The following is an 18,391-nucleotide window of genomic DNA, read 5'->3' on the forward strand; positions in this document are numbered from 1 at the left end:
GGATAATTTGTGCCTCCCAGTCACACATTTTCCCTTCTCTGCCTTCAGTGTATGGATATCACTGGCAATGCTGCTCATCAACCCAGCCTAGCAGGTGAAGGGCAAGAGGAACAGGCTAGACAGGGTTGCCAACAAGTGGTCCATACAATTCAGACCATACCACTGGGGTAGGTATCTGGTAGGTAAATATAACATAATGCAAAGGTCTTTCTAATATGACTATAACTGCTAATGCAAATGGTTTTGTAATATTAAGAATAGCTAATATTTACTGCTCATTCACCATGTGCTAGTCACTGTGTTAAATACCTTATATGCATTAGCTCAATGAATTTGTTAAACATCTTTGAGATATAACCCACATACAATAAAATTTACCTACTGAAAGTGAACATGGCTGTAGCATATTCATAGAATTATCCAACCATCACCATAACCCAAGTGCAGAACACTTTTATCACTCCCCAAAGAAACCTCCTACTAATTAGGTGTCACACCCCAGTTACCCTCCCCTCAGCCCCAGGCAACCAGTAGTCTACTTTCTGTCTCTATGGATTTATCTATTCTGGACTTTTACACAAATAACATCATATAATCTGTCAACTCTGAAGACAACTCTGTGGGCAGTTATCTCACACATTAAAAAAATAAAGTTTAGAGAAGTTAAATAACCACCGAAGAAGGTGGAAGGGGAACCAAATTCCACTTCCCTGAAACCCAGGTCTGGGGTCTCAACCATGTACCAGGCAACAACCTTCCACTTTTCCCATGATCTGTCTGATTCAACCACAACTGGTCATGTTCATTCAATATTTTCTGTTTGCCAAGTTAGGGCAAAGTACAACATATTCGTAGAGATATTTACCTTAAAACTAGGCTTTCAAATAGGTAAGTTTTATTTAAAAAAAAAATGTAACAATAGCCATGAACCCAGAAGCATAAAGGAGGATTCATTTCATTATCACCAATAGCTGCCCATCAGAGGCCAACTCTCTGCAAGTCTATAGTAAAAGATGAGAAGGTGGTATTTAAGGTGGAAAGAACTTTGCACTGTTATAAAAGACTAACTTTTGGCTGGGCATGGTGACCCATACCTGTAATCTGAACACTTTGGGAGGCCCATGCAGGCAGATGGCTTAGCCCAGGAGTTTCAGACCAGCCCTGGCAACATAGTGAGACCCTGTCTCTACAAAAAATTTTAAAAATTGCCAGGCATGGTGGTGCACGCCTGTAGTCCCAGCTACTCAGGAGGCTGAGGTGGGAGGATTGCTTGAGCCGGGAAGGTCAAGGCTGTAGTGATCATACCACTGCACTTCAGCCTGGGCAACAGAGTGAGACCTTATCTCAAAAAAAAAAAAAAAAATTCTAATTTTTTTTAGCTTCTATTTTTCACAAAGGAAAGCTTTTTGGCAGTATAACTTCCACTGTTGCCATAAGTGTGTTCTGAAAGAGGAAGGACAGCTATGACAGATGGATAATGCCGTACCAAAACAGAGAAAATGAGTCAGTGGAGAACTTGCCCCGTGGGAGCTAAAGTAAGGATTTTCATATGCCAGCAGAAGCTACCTTAACACATATCTCCTCTGCTCTCCAAATACAATTTTTTAGTTTCTTAGCAAACTTCAAAAGATAAACTGCCTTCTAAGAAGAAAAAATGGGAAAAGATTATGAAAACTAGGATAAACGGCAAACCAAGTATTTTACTTGATCACTATTATTTTTCATATTTACTTTATTTTTTTATTTGTTTTTTTTTTCCAAGACATAATCTCGCTCTATGGCCCAGGCTGGAGTGCAGTGAAGAAAACAAAACACAGGGTAGTCACTCTGTATCGAAGTGATTAGTATGGCAGTGGCAAGTCTCTTAGTAGTAATTTATTCTAAAAGTAGAATAAATGCTACTGTAATTTTTACTCTGGTTAAAATAAATGTGCTAATAAAAACCTGAAGATGAGATATAATTAATAGTTCCATGAAATGTGCTGCTATGTGTGATATGAGGGCTGTAACAATATTAATTCCTTACGTTTGGTCTGCTTCTAAGATGTTCATCAAGTGGAGTGATAATCTTCATTTGAGACAGGTGAACTCTGCCAGTGTCTTCTCCCTTTTGGCACTCCAAGTAATTATTTTCCGTCTGCTTCAGCATCACAAGTACATCCCCACGCTGCAAGGTACAATACCACTCTCTGAAGCAATTATTATTTAATAAAACATTATTACTTTTTCACATTTTAATCTTTGGAGCCTAAAGCATTTAATAATGTGTAATGGTAGTAACAGAGGCCAGTAATTTTTTTTTTACATTAACCAGTAAGGAAAGAGCTCTACTTTACCTTACAAGAGAGTTCTCCGGGGTTTTGAGAGACAATATCTTCATTGGCAATTCCATGAGGCACAGACAGCTTAAACGTAAACCAATAAAAGGCTTATTCACAATCAAATAACCTCCTCTTAAGTTGCTGATCATTTAGGAATTTGGCATGTGTGTGCCTAAAGTGCACCTTCTCCAGCAGCTAAACTCACCTGGCTTCATCGCGCTCTAGATCAATGGAGCCTGCCATTTCTCATGGATGTTAAGAGGCTCTTGGGAGTTGGAGTTAGGCCCATAGAACCACAAGAGCTAAACATGGCCTAACATTCCCTTAATGACCATAACCAGGAAGTTCTGTTCTACAGGACAAGATCCGCCAAGTCCCCTGGGGGTTTGAAGGAGAAACACCCAGCACTTGACCTCACAGCCAGTTCTTTAATTCAGGGTTCTTACAATGGTGGCCTCTGAAGGCTGATCAGTGATTGGAGCCCTCCGTGTACTGCCTGCCTGTTTCCATAGACCTTGAAGCTCTTCTCCTAGAGTCTCTCTGATACCAAGTGTCTACTTAAATCCATTTCATGGCCTGATCCCAGCCACTTCCTGGTCCACTCAGCTCTGTCTGATCTTAGAATGGTTTTTACATCTGTACTGGACCTTGTCCAGGAGGCTCTGTTCCCTGCTTTGGAAAATTTTAGCTGATGAGTGCACATCAGACGGTCTGTACTATATAAAAGGCATACCCAGGAAATGCAATCACACAAGCTCACATCCAACATGGGAAGAAGGCTGCCTGGGCCTTGGATCACCCAGGAGCAAAGATCCACAGTGCAAGGATGTGGCCCTGTACAGCTGGCTTGGTGGTGCCATTTCCCAACATCTTTGTCAGATTCCTAGGGCTTCCAATGTACCCAGATTCCTGGCTAGCAATTTAATGGTACTGTAGGCATGCAATAAATGAAAGATTTGAAGAATTATTTTGTAATGAGACATACAGCTCTATATATACCATCATTTTGAATGTATTGAGTTTTAAAAAATGCTTTATTGACATTATACGACTATGCTAAGAACTGTCAGGCCTCTGAGCCCAAGCTAAGCCACTGTGACCTGCACGTATACATCTGGATGGCCTGAAGCAGCTGAAGAACCACAAAAGATGACATTCCACCATTGTGATTTGTTCTTGCCCCACCCCAACTAATCAATCGACCTTGTTATGTTCCTCCCCAGGACAATGAGTCTCCTGATCTCCCTACCCTGCACCTTGTGACCCCCGCCCCTGCCCGCAAGAGAACAACCCCCTTTAACTGCAATTTTCCACTACCTACCCAAATCCTTTAAAACTGCCCCACTCCTGTCTCCCTTTGCTGACTCCTTTTTTGGAATGAGCCCGCCTGCACCCAGGTGAAATAAACAGCCTTGTTGCTCTCACAAAGCCTGTTTGGTGGTCTCTTCACACAGACGTGCGTGACAAGAACCAAATGTGAAATCTGGTTCCCCTTGAGAAAGGGCTCTTAACAGAATGGCCAAATCAAGTAGAGGCTACGATTGGCGTAATGGTTAGGAGCAGGTGTCAGAGCCAGCTGACCTGTTCTCAAATCTTGCTCCACCATTAACTGGATTCGCAACCCTGGGCATGTTACTTTATGTCTCTGTTTCTTATTTTCCTCACTTGTTAAAGGAGGATAATAATATCTACCTCACAAGGTTGGTATGAGGAATAAATGAGTTATTTAATACATACATAAAGTGCTTCAAACAGCGCCTGGCTCATAATTAGTACTCAATATACATCAACTACTGTTATTTATTAATTAAGTAATCTATCCCAAAGAACACCCCTGGGTTTTAGAAATTAAAGTTTTATCAGTTTAAGTGAATATTAATATATATGAATATACTGCCTCCTTCTTATTTGTCTTTACCCTTCTCTAAAGAGGATTTTTGAAAAACCCTGAACAGCTTAAAGAAAAAATAATTACTGGCTCAATGATGGAAATGTAACACAACATAGAATTATTAATTGCTGTTCTTGTTACAAGCTACTCTGTCGTTCAATTGTTAAAAAGAGTAAGCAGTCCTGCTCTCCTGATCATTTTTATTTTATTTTTTTTTTTAAAAAAGAGTCTCATTCTGTCACCCAGGCTGGAGTGCAGTGGCATGCTCTTGGCTCACTGAAACCTCCATCTCCTGGGTTCAAGCAGTTGGCTTCCCAAAGTGCTGGGATTACAGGTGTGAGCCACTGCACCTGGCCTCCTTATCATTTTTATTTGTTTTACATTTTTCAGGTTAACCTGATCAAAGTAGAGAACACATCAACTGTTTTTGTTGTTGTTGTTGTTGTTTTGTTTTTTTGAGATGGAGTCTCACTGTTGCCCAGGCTGGAGTGCAGTGGCACAATCTCGGCTCACTGCAACCTCTGCCTCCCGGGTTCAAGCAATTCTCCTGCCTCAGCCTCTGGAGTAGCTGGGATTACAGGCATGTGCCAACACGCCCAGCTAATTTTTGTATTTTTAGTAGAGACAGAGGTTTCACCACGTTGGCCTGGCTGGTCTCAAACTCCCAATCTCAAGTGATCCACCCGCCTCGGCCTCCCAAAGTGCTGGGATTACAGGCATGAGCCACCACCCAGCAACTCTGTTTTTTAACTGTGGGAAATGCAGGCAAAGGTTTAGGTCATTTGATGAGAAAAACATTAAAAGAGAACAAAATCAATATCTCAACTATTGATGAAAACTTCTAACTGGTAACTATTAAATGGACCACGATAATTATTGGGCTTACAAAAGGGGAAAATGAGGGAAAAACCATCCATCTTAGTAAGAACTTTCTACTTCATTTTAAAATTTACTCAAGGGGAAAAGGAGTTATTAGATATAAACTATATCATGATATAAACTATAAGCCAGGAGTGGAGGCATGTTCCCATAACCCCAGCTACTCAGAAGTGTGAAGCAGGAGGATCCCTGAGCTCTGGAGGTCGAGACTGCAGTACACTATGATTGCAGCAGTGCACTATGATTGCATCACTGCACTCGAGTCTGGGTGATAGAATGACACTCCATCTCTTAAATGAAAGGAAAAACAAAAGATATAAACTATAGTATCTGTCAGAGTTACTCCCATTAGTATAACCCACTGGGTCAGGTTTTTCAGAATTTCTGTTTGGTCCAGCCAGGCAGCAAGTTACAAGCGGCCTGCCCTGCTTTCTCTCCTCTTTCCCTACATTTCTCCTAATAATGAAACCCTGCTTTAAAGACCTAGGTGTTTTGTTTGTTTGCTTTGAGACAGTCTTGCTCTGTTGCCCAGGCTGGAGTGCAGTGGTGCAATCTTGGCTCACTGCAACCTCTGCCTCCCAGGCTCAAGCAATTCTCATGCCTCAGCCTCCTGAGTAGCTAGGATTACAGGATTGTGCCATCACGCCTGGGTAATTTTTTGTAATTTTAGTAGAGACAGAGTTTCACCACATTGGCCAGCTGGTCTCAAACTTTTGGCCTCAAGCTGATCCACCAGCCTCAGCTTCCCGAAGTGCTGGGATTATAGGTGTGAGCCACTGTGCCCAACCAAGACCTAGAATTTATTATGGCCTACTCATCTAAAGCACTCTTGGCGTCAAGGGACAATTCCACATTTGTTCCATCATCTTTTTCTAAGGAATGATGAATCGTATATATACTTTAGGGCACACCTCTTGACCACAAACATTTTTAAAAGCTAAATTTACCATGTATTTACTGTAGAGAGGGTGTCCTGGTTTGGGACGAGGGGGTAGCACCGGATCTTGATTTTTAAAAACTTGACTCTTGGCTTTTGAGAGTCCAGTTGCCAAGTTACTTTGTTTTTTCTGAAGATCCATGTCAGAAGAGGATCGATTAAAAGGCAGTTTCTTATTAGATCTTCTGGTTGCAGAAAGCTTTGGGGGAGGTGGTCTCTCAGGGGGCACCTTGGTTGGAGGCTGTTGAGTTGGAATGGTTTTTCCATTCACAGGTCTGAAAGTCAATGTAGTAGCCATGAGTCAGTGTTTTGATCAGTATTAAATTCTGTCCTGTCCTGTCTTACACACACACACACACACACACACACACACACACAGAGACACAGCTTTCTGCTAGTGGAATACAGTTTACTGAAACATGCAGGGTATGCTATTTTTGAGCAAACGACTGCTGCATTAAACATTACATTATTAGAGGAAATGCCATGATGTTCCAGTTTCCTCTTATCTTGCGCTAGAGATTCATTAGTTCAAGACAAACAAGCATTTACTATCACGGGCTCTCTAAGGTCCCATTTGCTCTTAAACACATCATGACTATTTCTGGAAACTAAGTACTTTCTACCAAAGTCTGAGATGAAAAGCTTATAATAAGATACGATGTATGTGTGCTGGGGTCTTGTACATGATTAGAAAAGGAACATCAAAATCCCCTAATATTCATGTTATAGGTGTTACTATTAAAAGTCTAATTTAGATTAATACAAAGAAAGCTAGTTCTGAAAGGATAGGACAACTATTACTTTGAAAGCCTTTCCTTAATCCCTACGATAGAAATAATTTTCGGCTGGGAGTGGTGGCTCATGCCTGTAATCCCAGCACTTTGGGAGGCCCAGATGGACGGATCATGAGGTCATGAGATCGAGAACATCCTGGCCAACATGGTGAAACCCCATCTCTATTAAAAATACAAAAATTAGCTGGGCATGGTGGCTCATGCCTGAAGTCCCAGCTACTTGGGAGGCTGAGGCAGGAGAATCGCTTGAACCCGGGAGGCGGAGGTTGCAGTGAGCTGAGATCGCGCCACTGTACTCCAGCCTGGTGACAGAGGGAGACTCCATCTCAAAAAAAAAATAAATAAATAAATTTCAACATAGTAATAATGTCTTCTGATAGCATTACAGCCCTTTATTTGAATAGCTCCGGAACTCAGAAGGCAGTCACCTCTGAGCTCACAAAGCCAGTCTCCTTCGGAAATGCCAAAAACCAGTTTCTTAACCAGGAGGGTGTTTGTGTGCATGTATACGTATATTCTAGAAGTGGAGCTGTTTTAAGTTCAGAAATGAGTCTTGTTCATTTATTTGAGGAAATAAATGCTCTATGAGTTGAACTGTGTTAAAAAGGGAGCAGAGATTCCCACAACCTACCATTAGGAGCAGACAGTGGATTAGGGGCCTGCGTGAAATCGGTGAGATTATTTTATCTCTAAAAAAAGATTCAAGGCCAACAACACTCAATCTTGGTGATAAAAAAGAGTTGGGTCTCTGAGTCATTAATTTTTCTCTAACTTTTCCCACATTTACTTACCTCGGTGGCAACCTTGGGGGTACTCGCACAAAACCTCCTGTTTGACCTGGGTGGTTGGATTCCTGCAAGTAGCAGAGAATGCTTTTTAGTTAAGGTTAATCTGAAACAAGAACTTGTCAAGAGAAATTCTAGGCAACCTTTTGGCTGGATCTACAAGTAGAAATGCAGTTGAATTATAGAAAGTAGCTTAAAAGAGTTTTCAGCCTTAAACAATATTAACCTATTTCTGCCTAAATTATTCATGTCCTAATAACAAGTGAAAACACTGACAGGAAGAAACCAGTCTCCTGTTGTGGACCACAGCCTGAGCAACTGCACTGCATGGTCATGCACTCAGTGGATTCATGAGATATTGAGGGAAAATTTAAGCAGGCCCTGAAGAGAATTTAAAAATGTATGCTCTTGGCCGGGCACGGTGGCTCACGCCTGTAATCCCAGCACTTTGGGAGGCTGAGGCGGGTGGATCACGAGGTCAGGAGATAGAGACCATCCTGGCTAACACAGTGAAACCCCATCTCTACTAAAAATACAAAAAATTAGCTGGGCATGGTGGCGGACACCTGTAGTTCCAGCTACTTGGGAGGCTGAGGCAGGAGAATGGCGTGAACCCAGGAGGCAGAGGTTGCAGTGAGCCGAGATCATGCCACTGCACTCTAGCCTGGGCAACAGAGCAAGACTCCATCTCAAAAAAAAAAAAAAAAAAAAAAATATATATATATATATATATATACACACACACATATATATATATACACACATATATATACATATATATACACACACATATATATACATATATATATACACACACATATATATATACATATATATATATATACACACACATATATATATATACATGCTCTTTATTCATTCCGTGATCACACATAAGAAACACACTGCTCCTAAATTTAAACACATAGTAAGAGGGATGGTTATTAGTTGGTTTTGCTTTGAATAGGCAGATCTTATCTCATCACTGTTTGGTTTCAACAATTTGCAGTGGGTTTTGAACTAGAAGGAGGTGGGAACGTAAAAGAAACTTGCAGGATGGTCTGAGAGGAAGGCATGTAAGGAGAAATAGTTAAGGTCCAAGAAAGCAGTGTGCTGGTACCACTCTAGCAAAAGGGCTGGATGGGCTAAAAAAGAGTTTCGTAGAAAAGAGGAAAAGAGTGAAGGAGAATAATATGAACAATAAAAGACAGTCACAGTTGGAATGTTTTATCCTAATGGTAGATGAGAGAAACTGGAAGTGTGGAGATTAATAGGAAGATTTCTGTAGGGGAAGGGTCAAACTGTTCCATTTAAACAGGTTTTCTGAACATGTTATAGCCCAAGGATTGGGAAATGAAGGTAATACGTGGAGAATATTTTCAGATCTTCTGTTGAGTGGGAAGCCAAAGGATCTCAAAGCCAAAATTTCTGTTTTTTGGAGGGGGAAAAAGCCCTCACAAAATTCTTTTTTTTTTTTTTTTTTTGGAGACAGAGTCTCACTCTGTCCCCCAGGCTGGAGTGCAATGATGCAATCTCAGCTCAATGCAACCTCTGCCTCCCAGGTTCAAGTGATTCTCCTGCCTCAGCTTCCCGAGTGGCTGAGACTACAGGCGTGTGCCACCCCACCTGGCTAATTTTCGTATTTTCAGTAGAGACGACGTTTCACCATGTTGGCCAGGATGGTCTCAAACTCCTGACCTCAAGTGATCCACCCGCCTTGGCCTCCCAAAGTGCTGGGATTACACGCGTGAGCCACCACACCCAGTCCCTCAATAAATTCTTCTAATTCTGTGTTTTTTTGTTTTCCACTTTTCCTACTTTCTAAGTCCCCAACACACTCAGGAAATAATATTTCCCCAAAACTTCATAAGAAAAAAAATGCTGACTCTTTAAATTACATTGCTTTTTTTTTTTGTAAAGGATGTTTAATTAAAGCTTGGAAATCTTTGGGCTACTTCAGACTGTTTTTCTCCTTCTTATAAATGAGCCAAAACTCACTTTTATGATTTTTAAATTATACTGAATATTTATAACCTTTTCCTTAAATACCAAATGATTAATTGCCAATAACTGTGATCATTTAAACATGTTTCAATATTATAAAATCCCATTTTAAAAAACAAATTAAGCTTGCCCTTAAAACTTGGTTTCACTAATGAGTTCAGTTAATGTAGTGAAGCAAGTAACCAGCTCATAAACCCTGCAATATTCCAGAATATAATCCTTGCCTTATAATTACACTGCTGCCTATATTTTTCCTGACAAATATTGCCATGATGCTTGAAAAATGCATTTATTTCTTTGGCTACCTTTAAAATTAAAACAAACTCTAGCAGATAGGAAGAAATTTTAATTGCTTTTCTCAAAACTGTAATTGTTAGATACCTTGATAAAGAAAATTTAAAAAATAGATATATAAATTTGACATGGAAAGATGCAGATGATGTACTGTAATAAATGCACAGCATATGACCCTAATTTTGTACCAAATATTAGCTATAGTTTTTCCTGGGGGGTGGTATTTTTATGGAAAATCTTAAACATCTTTTTAATTTCTTAATTTGCAACAGTAAGAAAATTTTAAATCAGAAAAAAAGAGTGGCATATTCAAATTCTTTAGGGATGTTAGGCACATTCTGAAAGGCACTGCTGTATCTGACATACTCCAAATATTGAGAGGAGACAGTTCTTGCAGGAGCCATTGTCTTAGTGTTTGCTCAAGTCTGGGTTTATGCCCAGGTTCTGCTGAGTCTTTGCAAGATAACTGATTAGGGACTTCCTCCTCGTGGGTATTCCACACATAACCTCAAGGCTCTCTGCATTTGCTTTTTGACAGTTTTTCTCTAGCTCTGATATCCCTGAACTCTGGCTTTTAATGTGTTTGGACAAGCATTTTAGTTTCTGGTGAAGTTGGTTTTCCTGCTTATATTGTCTCTGCAGATTCCATCTTTTTGTTCATCTGCACTGGAATAATATTCCAATTTAAAAATAATTCCCCAGTTTTTTGCTATTCTCTCTCTCTCTTTTTTTTTTTTTTTTTTTCTGAGATGGAGTCTCACTCTGTTGCCCAGGCTGGAGTGCAGTGGCATGCTCTCAGCTCACCAAACCTCCGCCTCCCGGGTCCAAGCAATTCTCCCACCTCAGCCTGCCGAGTAGCTGGGATTACAGGCATGCGCCACCATGCCTGGCTAATTTTTGTATTTTTAGTAGAGACGGGGTTTCACCATGTTGGCCATGCTGTTCTGGAACTCCTGACCTCAACTGATCCACCTGCCTCGGACTCCCAAAGTGCTGGGATTACAGAGGTGAGCCACTGTGCCTAGACTTTTGCTACATATATATGTACATATATATATATTTGAGACGTAGTCTTGTTCTGTCACCCAAGCTAGAGTGTAGTGGCACGATCTTGGCTCACTGCAACCTCCGCCTCCTGGGTTCAAGCAATTCTCTTGCCTCAGCCTCTTGAGTAGCTGGGATTACAGGCACGTGCCACCACACCCGGCTAATTTTTGTATTTTTAGTAGAGATGGGGTTTCACCATTTTGGTCAGGCTGGTCTCAAACTCCTGACCTCATGATCCATCCACCTCGGCCTCCCAAAGTACTGGGATTACAGGCATGAACCACCATGCCCAGCTGCTATATTTTTTTAAAAAAACAGGTATTTCTCCCAAGACCACACTCTTGTCTGCTGGAATTACTGAGTGGCCTCCATATGTTTCTTATCTTTTTTCTCCAAGAATTAGCACTACTTCTTTTTTTATTTTTTAGAGACAGGGTCTCGCTTTGTTGTCCAGGCTGGAGTACAGTGGCGCGATCTCGGCTCACTGCAACCTCCACCTCTGGGTTCAAGCGATTCTCCTGCGTCAGCCTCCCAAGTAGCTAGGATTACAGGCGTGCTCCACCACACCTGGCTAATTTTGTATTTTTAGTAGAGATGGGGGTTTCACCATGTTGGTCAGGCTGGTCTCGAACTCCTGACCTCAGGTGATCCACCTGCCTCAGCCTCCCAAAGTGCTGTGAATACAGGCATGAGCCACCGTGCCTGGCCCACACCTTTAAGTCTTTATGGCCTCTGTTTCAAAATTCATTCAGTAATTGTAATTTTTTTTAAAAAAAAAGGGATTTCTTAGGCACAGATTGACTTTCAGGTCCCAGAAATCTATATGCGTGAATTCAGGCAAATCATTTAACTTGTAGTCTGATTCTTCATCTCTTCTTCCTTCAGATTCAGTGTGTTTATTATGGTATGCATTTATTATAGTACAGTACTGAATGTTCTGACTCCCTTTATAAACAGTGCAGGACAGGATTTTCCTCATGTTGTCATGTGAGGAACAAACACAATTATGAATATGGTATCTCTCCAGATGGTTTAATTTATTATAACTTCCTTTTTTTTGTTTTTCTAAAATGTGGAAGTTGCTTCCGGACTGCTTAGCACTAAACATAATAATACTATTTCTTTTCTTTTCTTTTTTTCTGAGATGGAGTCTCACTCTGTCGCACAGGCTGGAGTGCAGTGGCGCGATCTCGGCTCACTGCAACCTCTTCCTCCTGGGTTTATGCAATTCTCCTGCCTCAGCCTCCCAAGTAGCTGGGATTATAGGCGCATGACACCACACCCGGCTGATTTTTTTTTTTTTTTTTTTGTGAGATGGAGTTTCATTCTTGTTGCCCAGGCTGGAGTGCAATGGTGTGATCTTGGCTCACCACAACCTCCGCTTCCCAGGTTCAAGCGATTCTCCTGCCTCAGCCTCCCGAGTAGCTGGGATTACAGGCATGCACCACCACACCCAGCTAATTTTTTGGATTTTTAGTAGAGATGGGGTTTCTCCATGTTGGTCAGGCTGGTCTTGAACTCCCGACCTCAGGCGATCCGCCCGCCTTGGCCTCCCAAAGTGCTGGGATTACAGGCTTGAACCATTGCGCCCGGCCCACACCTGGCTAATTTTTGTATTTTTAGTAGAGATGGGGTTTCACCATGTTGGCCAGGCTGGTCTTGAACTCCTCACCTCAAGTGATCCACCCGCCTTGGCCTCCCAAAGTGCTGGATTACAGGTGTGAGCCACCACACCCGGCCTCTTTTCTTTTTTTTTGAGACAGAGGCTTGCTCTGTTGCCCAAGCTGGAGTGCAGTGGTGCGATCTCAGCTAACTGCAACCTCTGCCTCCCGGGTTCAAGCAATTTTCGTGCCTCAGCCTCCTGAGCAGCTGGGACTACAGGTGTGTGCCACCACACCTGGCTCATTTTTGTATAATACTATTTCTTTTTTTCTTCTGGAGACGAGTCTTGCTCTGTTGCCCAGGCTAGAGTGCAGTGGTACAATCTTGGCTCACTGCAACCTCCACTTCCTGAGTTCAGGCGATTCTCCTGCCTCAGCCTCCCAAGTAGATGGGATTACAGGCACGCATCACCATGCCTGGCTAATTTTTGTATTTTTAGCACAGATGAGGTTTCACCATGTTGGCCAGACTGATCTCAAACTCCTGATCTCAAGTGATTTGCCCGCCTTGGCCTCCCAAAGTGCTGGGATTACAGGTGTGAGCCACAGTGCACCCCAATACTATTTCAATAAAGCTTTATAGTTTACAAAGTCCATTACATATGATGGACATTACATATAATGGACATTAACAAATGATGTTTTACTTACTCATCACCCTCTCACTCCTTTTTATAACCATTTCAGAGTAGAAGCCAACCTTCTCAAGCAACTTTTCCTCCAAGGGAATTTGGGATTTTCCAGTTTAACGTTAGTAAGGTAGGAACCCTACTATCCTCTTTTGGGCTTTCTTGGCCCAGATTTAATAAAAGTTTATTACCAGCTACTTTGAAAATCACAAGTGATCACTAAATTTTAATTCATTCTTCAGGAAAATCTCATTAACTTGATATTGGCTAATTTAATTTAATGTCTCCTTCAAAGAAATTTTTCTTCTCCAGATGATTAGGTGGGCTTGCCTGTATAATAAGCATAGTTAATGCACAATGTAAAATCATGATGAAATTTGAACTGAAAATTTGGTTCAAAGACTTAAAAGTTAATTTCTCTTAAAACAAGCCTTAAAGATCATATGCCATATGGACATTTAAAAAAAACGACTGGGGTCTGGCGTGGTTGCTCATGCCTGTAATCCTGGCACTCTGAGAGGCCGAGGCGGATGGACCATTTGAGGTCAGGAGTTCAAGACCAGCCTGGCCAACATGATAAAACCCTGTCTCTACTAAAAATACAAAAAAAATTAGCTGGACATGGTGGTGCGCACCTGTAGTCCCAGCTACTTGGGAGGCTGAGGCAGGAGAACTGCTTGAACCCAGGAGGTAGAGGTTGCAGTGAGCCGAAATCGTGCCACTGCACTCCAACCTGGGCGACAGAGCGAGACTCTGTCTCAAAAAAAGAAGTGATCTCATATCTAGAAAAACCTAAAGACTCTACCAAAAAAACCCTCTTAGAATTGATAAATGAATTCAGTAAAGTTGCAGGATACAAAATTAATATACAAATATCAGTAACATTTCTATACATGACAAAGAACTAGCTAAAAAAAGAAATTGAGAAGGCAATCCTATTTACGATAGCTACAAAAAGAAATACCTTGTAATAAATTTAACTGAGGAAGTGAAAGACCTCTACAAGGAAAACTACAAAATACCGATGGAAAAATGGAAGAAGATACAAAGGATACAAACAAACAGACATTCTATATTCATGGATTAGAAGAATTAATATTGTTAAAATGAGAATATTACCCAAAGAAATCTACAGATTCAATGCAATCCCTATCAAAATACAAATGACATTCTTTACAAACAAAGAAAAAAAAATCCTAAAACTTGTACGGAACCGCAAAAGGCCCCGAATAGTCAAAACAATCCTGAGCCAAAAGAACAAAGGTGGAGGCATCACCTACCAACTTTAAAATACACTACACAAAGATGTAGTAGCAAAAACAGCATGGACCTAGCATAATAACAGACACACAGGCCAATGGAACAGAATAGAGAATCCAAAAATTAATCCACATATCTACAGCCAATCGATTTTTGACAAAAGTGCCAAGAACAGTCATTGGGGAAAGCACAGTCTCTTCAATAAATGGCGCTGGGGAAAACTAGATATCCATATGCAGACGAATGAAACTAAACCCTCCCACTCACTCTTTATAAGACTCAACTCAAAGACCTAAATCTAAGACCTGAAACAATAAAACTACTAGAAGAAAGCAGGGAAAAGACCTCAGGACATTGGTCTTAAAAAAGATTTTATGAATAACACCTCAAAAGCACAGGCAACAAAAGTAAAAATAAACAAATGGGCTTATATCAACCAAAAATCTTTTGCACAGTAAAGGAAACAACCAACAGAGTGAAAAGACAACCTACAGAATGGCAGGAAATATTTGCAAACTACTCATCTGATAGGGGATTAGTATCCAGAATACAAAAGAAACTCAAACATCGTAACAGCAAAAACCCCAAACAATCTGATTTTAAAATGGGCAAATAAACTTTGGGAGGCGGAGGCCAGACAACTGCTTGAATCCAGGAGTTCAAGAACAGCCTGGGCAATGTGGCAAAACCTGTCTCTACAAAAAATACAAAAAATTAGCTGAGTGTGGTGGCATGCGCCTATAGTTCCAGCTACTCAGGAGGCTGAGGTGGGAGGATCACCTGAGCCCAGGAGGTCAAGGCTGCAGTGAGCTGTGATCACACAACTGCACTCCAGCCCAGGAGACAGAGTAAGACCCTATCTCAAAAAAAGAAAAAAAAAAAACGGCAAATGATCTGGGTATTTCTCAAAAGAAGACACACAAATGGCCAACAAATACATTAAAAAATGCTCAACCTCACTAATCATCAGGGAAATTCACATCAAAATGGCAATGAGGTATCATCTCACCCCAGTTGGGATGGCTATTATCTAAAAGATAAAAAAAAAAAACAAATGCTGGCAAGAATGCAGAGAAGGGTGAACTCTTATACACTGTTAGTGGGGATGTAACCTAGTACAATCACTGTAGAGAACAGGATGGAAGCTCCTCAAAAAACTACAAATAGAACTACCATATGATCCAGCAAGCCCACTACTGGGAATTTATTCAAAGGAAAGGAAATTACATTGAAGAGACATCTGCACATCCATGTTTACTGCAGCACTACTCACAATAGCCAAGATACGGAATCAACCTAGGTGTCCAACAACAGATAAATGGATACAGAAAATGTGGCATGTATACACCATGGAATACTATACAGCCATAAAAAAGAATGGAATCCTGTCATTTGTGGCAACATAAATGGAACTGGAGGATATTATGTTAAGTGAAATAAGCCAGGAACAGAAAGTTAAACACTGCATCTTCTCATTCATACATGGAAGCTAAAAATAAGTTGATCTCATAGAAATAAAAAGTAGAACGGAGGATACTAGAGGCTGGGAAGGGTAGAAAGAAGGGAGAGATAGGGAGCTTTGTTAAATAATACAAAATTAGAGCTAGACAGGAGGAATAAATTCTAGTGTTCTATACCACTGCAGGATGACTATAGTTAACAATAATATATAGCTTCAAATAGCTGGAAGGAAGATATTGAATATTCCAAACAGAATTGGTGAAAAATGTTTGAGATGACAGATATGCTTACTACCCTGATCTGATCCCTATATAGTATATGTACTGAAACATCACTATGTACCCCAAGAATATGTACAATTATTATTTAAATTTAAAACAGAGGAAATAATCAGGAGCTTTGTCATGGGCTTCCCATAAAGTCCTCTGAAAGTCTTTATTCTTTATTTATTTATTTATTTATTTTTTGAGATGGAGTCTCACTCTGTCGCCCCAGGCTGGAGTGCAGTGGCGTGATCTTGGCTCACTGCAACCTCTGTCTCCCGGGTTCAAGCGATTCTCCTGCTTCAGCCTCTGGAGTAGCTGGGATTACAGGCACACGACACCACGTCCGGCTAATTTTTGTATTTTTAGTAGAAACGAGGTTTCACCATGTTAACCAGGCTCGTCTCGAACTCCTGACCTCAGGTAATCCACCCGCCTTGGCCTCCCAAAGTGCTGGGATTACAGGTGTGAGCCATTGTGTCCAGCCACCTTTATTCTTTTTCTTAAACCACTTCTCTAATTACTTGCTGCATGTCTGTTTCCCCAAGAAACCACAAAAGTTGGAAGACCAAAAAAAAAAAATAAATAAAAGTATTGAGGATATTGAAGTTGAAATGAAAAATATATATATGTACTTTAAAAAATCTCTTTGACCTCCATCTTAACAAATGCACAGTAAAACACTATTTTTTAAATAAAAAAAATACATTTTTCTTAAATTTCAGATTTAAAAATTCTTATGTTAATTATCTTAAATTTTGGTCACTAGTTGGGTATTTTAAATAAAAACCAACAACTTGAATAAAGTTATTTCCCTGAATATTAAAGGTTTTTAGACATTTTAATAACCTTCTCCTTATTAGTTTCATTTAAAAGACAATGCCATTAAGTTGGTATACAAATTATTTTATAGTGAAGTACAATGAATTGGCCTAATCTCTCTATAGGGACTTTTAACATATTGAACACTATATTATATAAGTACATGGGGCTTAGAGACTGGTCTCTAATAGAGGGTTCTTGTTTTTAATCTGACCAGTAATAAAATAATTTAGATATTAGCTGACTATTCAAAATTAATGCATAGCTACGTCTTCAATCTAGTACAATCTATAATGACCACTTACCAAGTTTCTAGTTCTCTCAACATTACTGAGCTTTCCAGATACTGTACTGAAAGTGTTTCCAATAGGTTTTTCAGCAGGGAGAGGAGGTGGACTTTGTGGATCCTCATGTAAACCTGGAAAAAGTAGCAGTAATTCATCAATAATTTCTAGTTTCTGGGATTCCAAAGAATGAAATGATTGCTGCTTAGTTTATTAGAAAAATGGCTATCATAAAAGATACACACAAATAGTTAAGCAAATGAGAAAGAGCTCCCAGCAAACTTCAGAAAATTGATGTGTTAGTCAACATCAGTTAATTTTACTATATGTTTTTATAGAGAGTGAAAATAATACTAAACAATTCAACAGCAGCCAGCATTGTTGAGAACCTTTTATGTGCCAGGAATTAAGTTAGGCTCTATATTTACATACATTTCTCCAACCAAGATCTATGTGCTAGATTTGTCCAGTCCACTAGCTAGTAGCTACATCTGATGATTTAGTCTTAAATCTTAATTAATTAAAATTAAATTAAATTAAAATTTCAGTTCCTCAGTTGCACTAGCCACATTTCAAATTACTAGCCACTGTGACTAGTGGCTACCAGCACAGTTAAAGAACATTTCTATCTTTGTAGAAAGTTCTATCGCACAGTGCTACACTAGATAATATCCTACCTGTTTTACAGATGAAGAAACTGAAGCTAAGAAGAAAATAAATGCACTACCCAAGGTCTTATTGCTAGTAATTGTCAGATCCATTGTTTTGAACCTAAAAGTCCATGTTCATTTTGATAAGGCATGCTGCTTCTTAATAGGTGGTGTATCCAACACTCCCTCATCCAAAAATAATTCAATGTGTTTTATTTCTTTTTTTTTTTTTTTTTGAGATGGAGTCTCGCTCTGTCACCCAGGCTGCAGTGCAGTGGTGCAATCTCGGCTCACTGTAAGCTCCGCCTCCTGAGTTCACGCCATTCTCCTGCCTCAGCTTCCGGAGTAGCTGGGACTACAGGCACCCGCCACCACGCCTGCCTAATTTTTTTGTATTTTTAGTAGA

General features: G+C 40.3%; 1 protein-coding gene across 14 annotated transcripts in view; it reads right to left on the reverse strand.

Annotated features, from left to right (window-relative positions):
• The window catches only part of SH3D19 (SH3 domain containing 19), a 205,325-nt gene that overhangs the window by 21,603 nt on the left and 165,331 nt on the right, over positions 1–18,391 (reverse strand). For 9 of the 14 annotated variants that reach the window (NM_001378131.1, NM_001378128.1, NM_001378122.1 and 6 more), the window contains 4 exons: positions 17,357–17,469; positions 7,617–7,678; positions 6,039–6,303; positions 2,027–2,167 (listed from right to left, as the gene is read on the reverse strand). In NM_001378131.1, the coding sequence (NP_001365060.1) occupies positions 2,027–2,167; positions 6,039–6,303; positions 7,617–7,678; positions 17,357–17,469 (581 nt within the window). Of the gene's footprint in view, positions 1–2,026; positions 2,168–2,336; positions 2,406–6,038; positions 6,304–7,616; positions 7,679–17,356; positions 17,470–18,391 lie in introns of all 14 variants that reach the window. The other 5 variants (NM_001378121.1, NM_001378126.1, NM_001378123.1 and 2 more) reach the window with 1 other exon arrangement.

The sequence above is a fragment of the Homo sapiens genome, chromosome 4 (assembly GCF_000001405.40).
Source record: "Homo sapiens chromosome 4, GRCh38.p14 Primary Assembly".
NCBI classification, from domain to species: domain Eukaryota; kingdom Metazoa; phylum Chordata; class Mammalia; order Primates; family Hominidae; genus Homo; species Homo sapiens.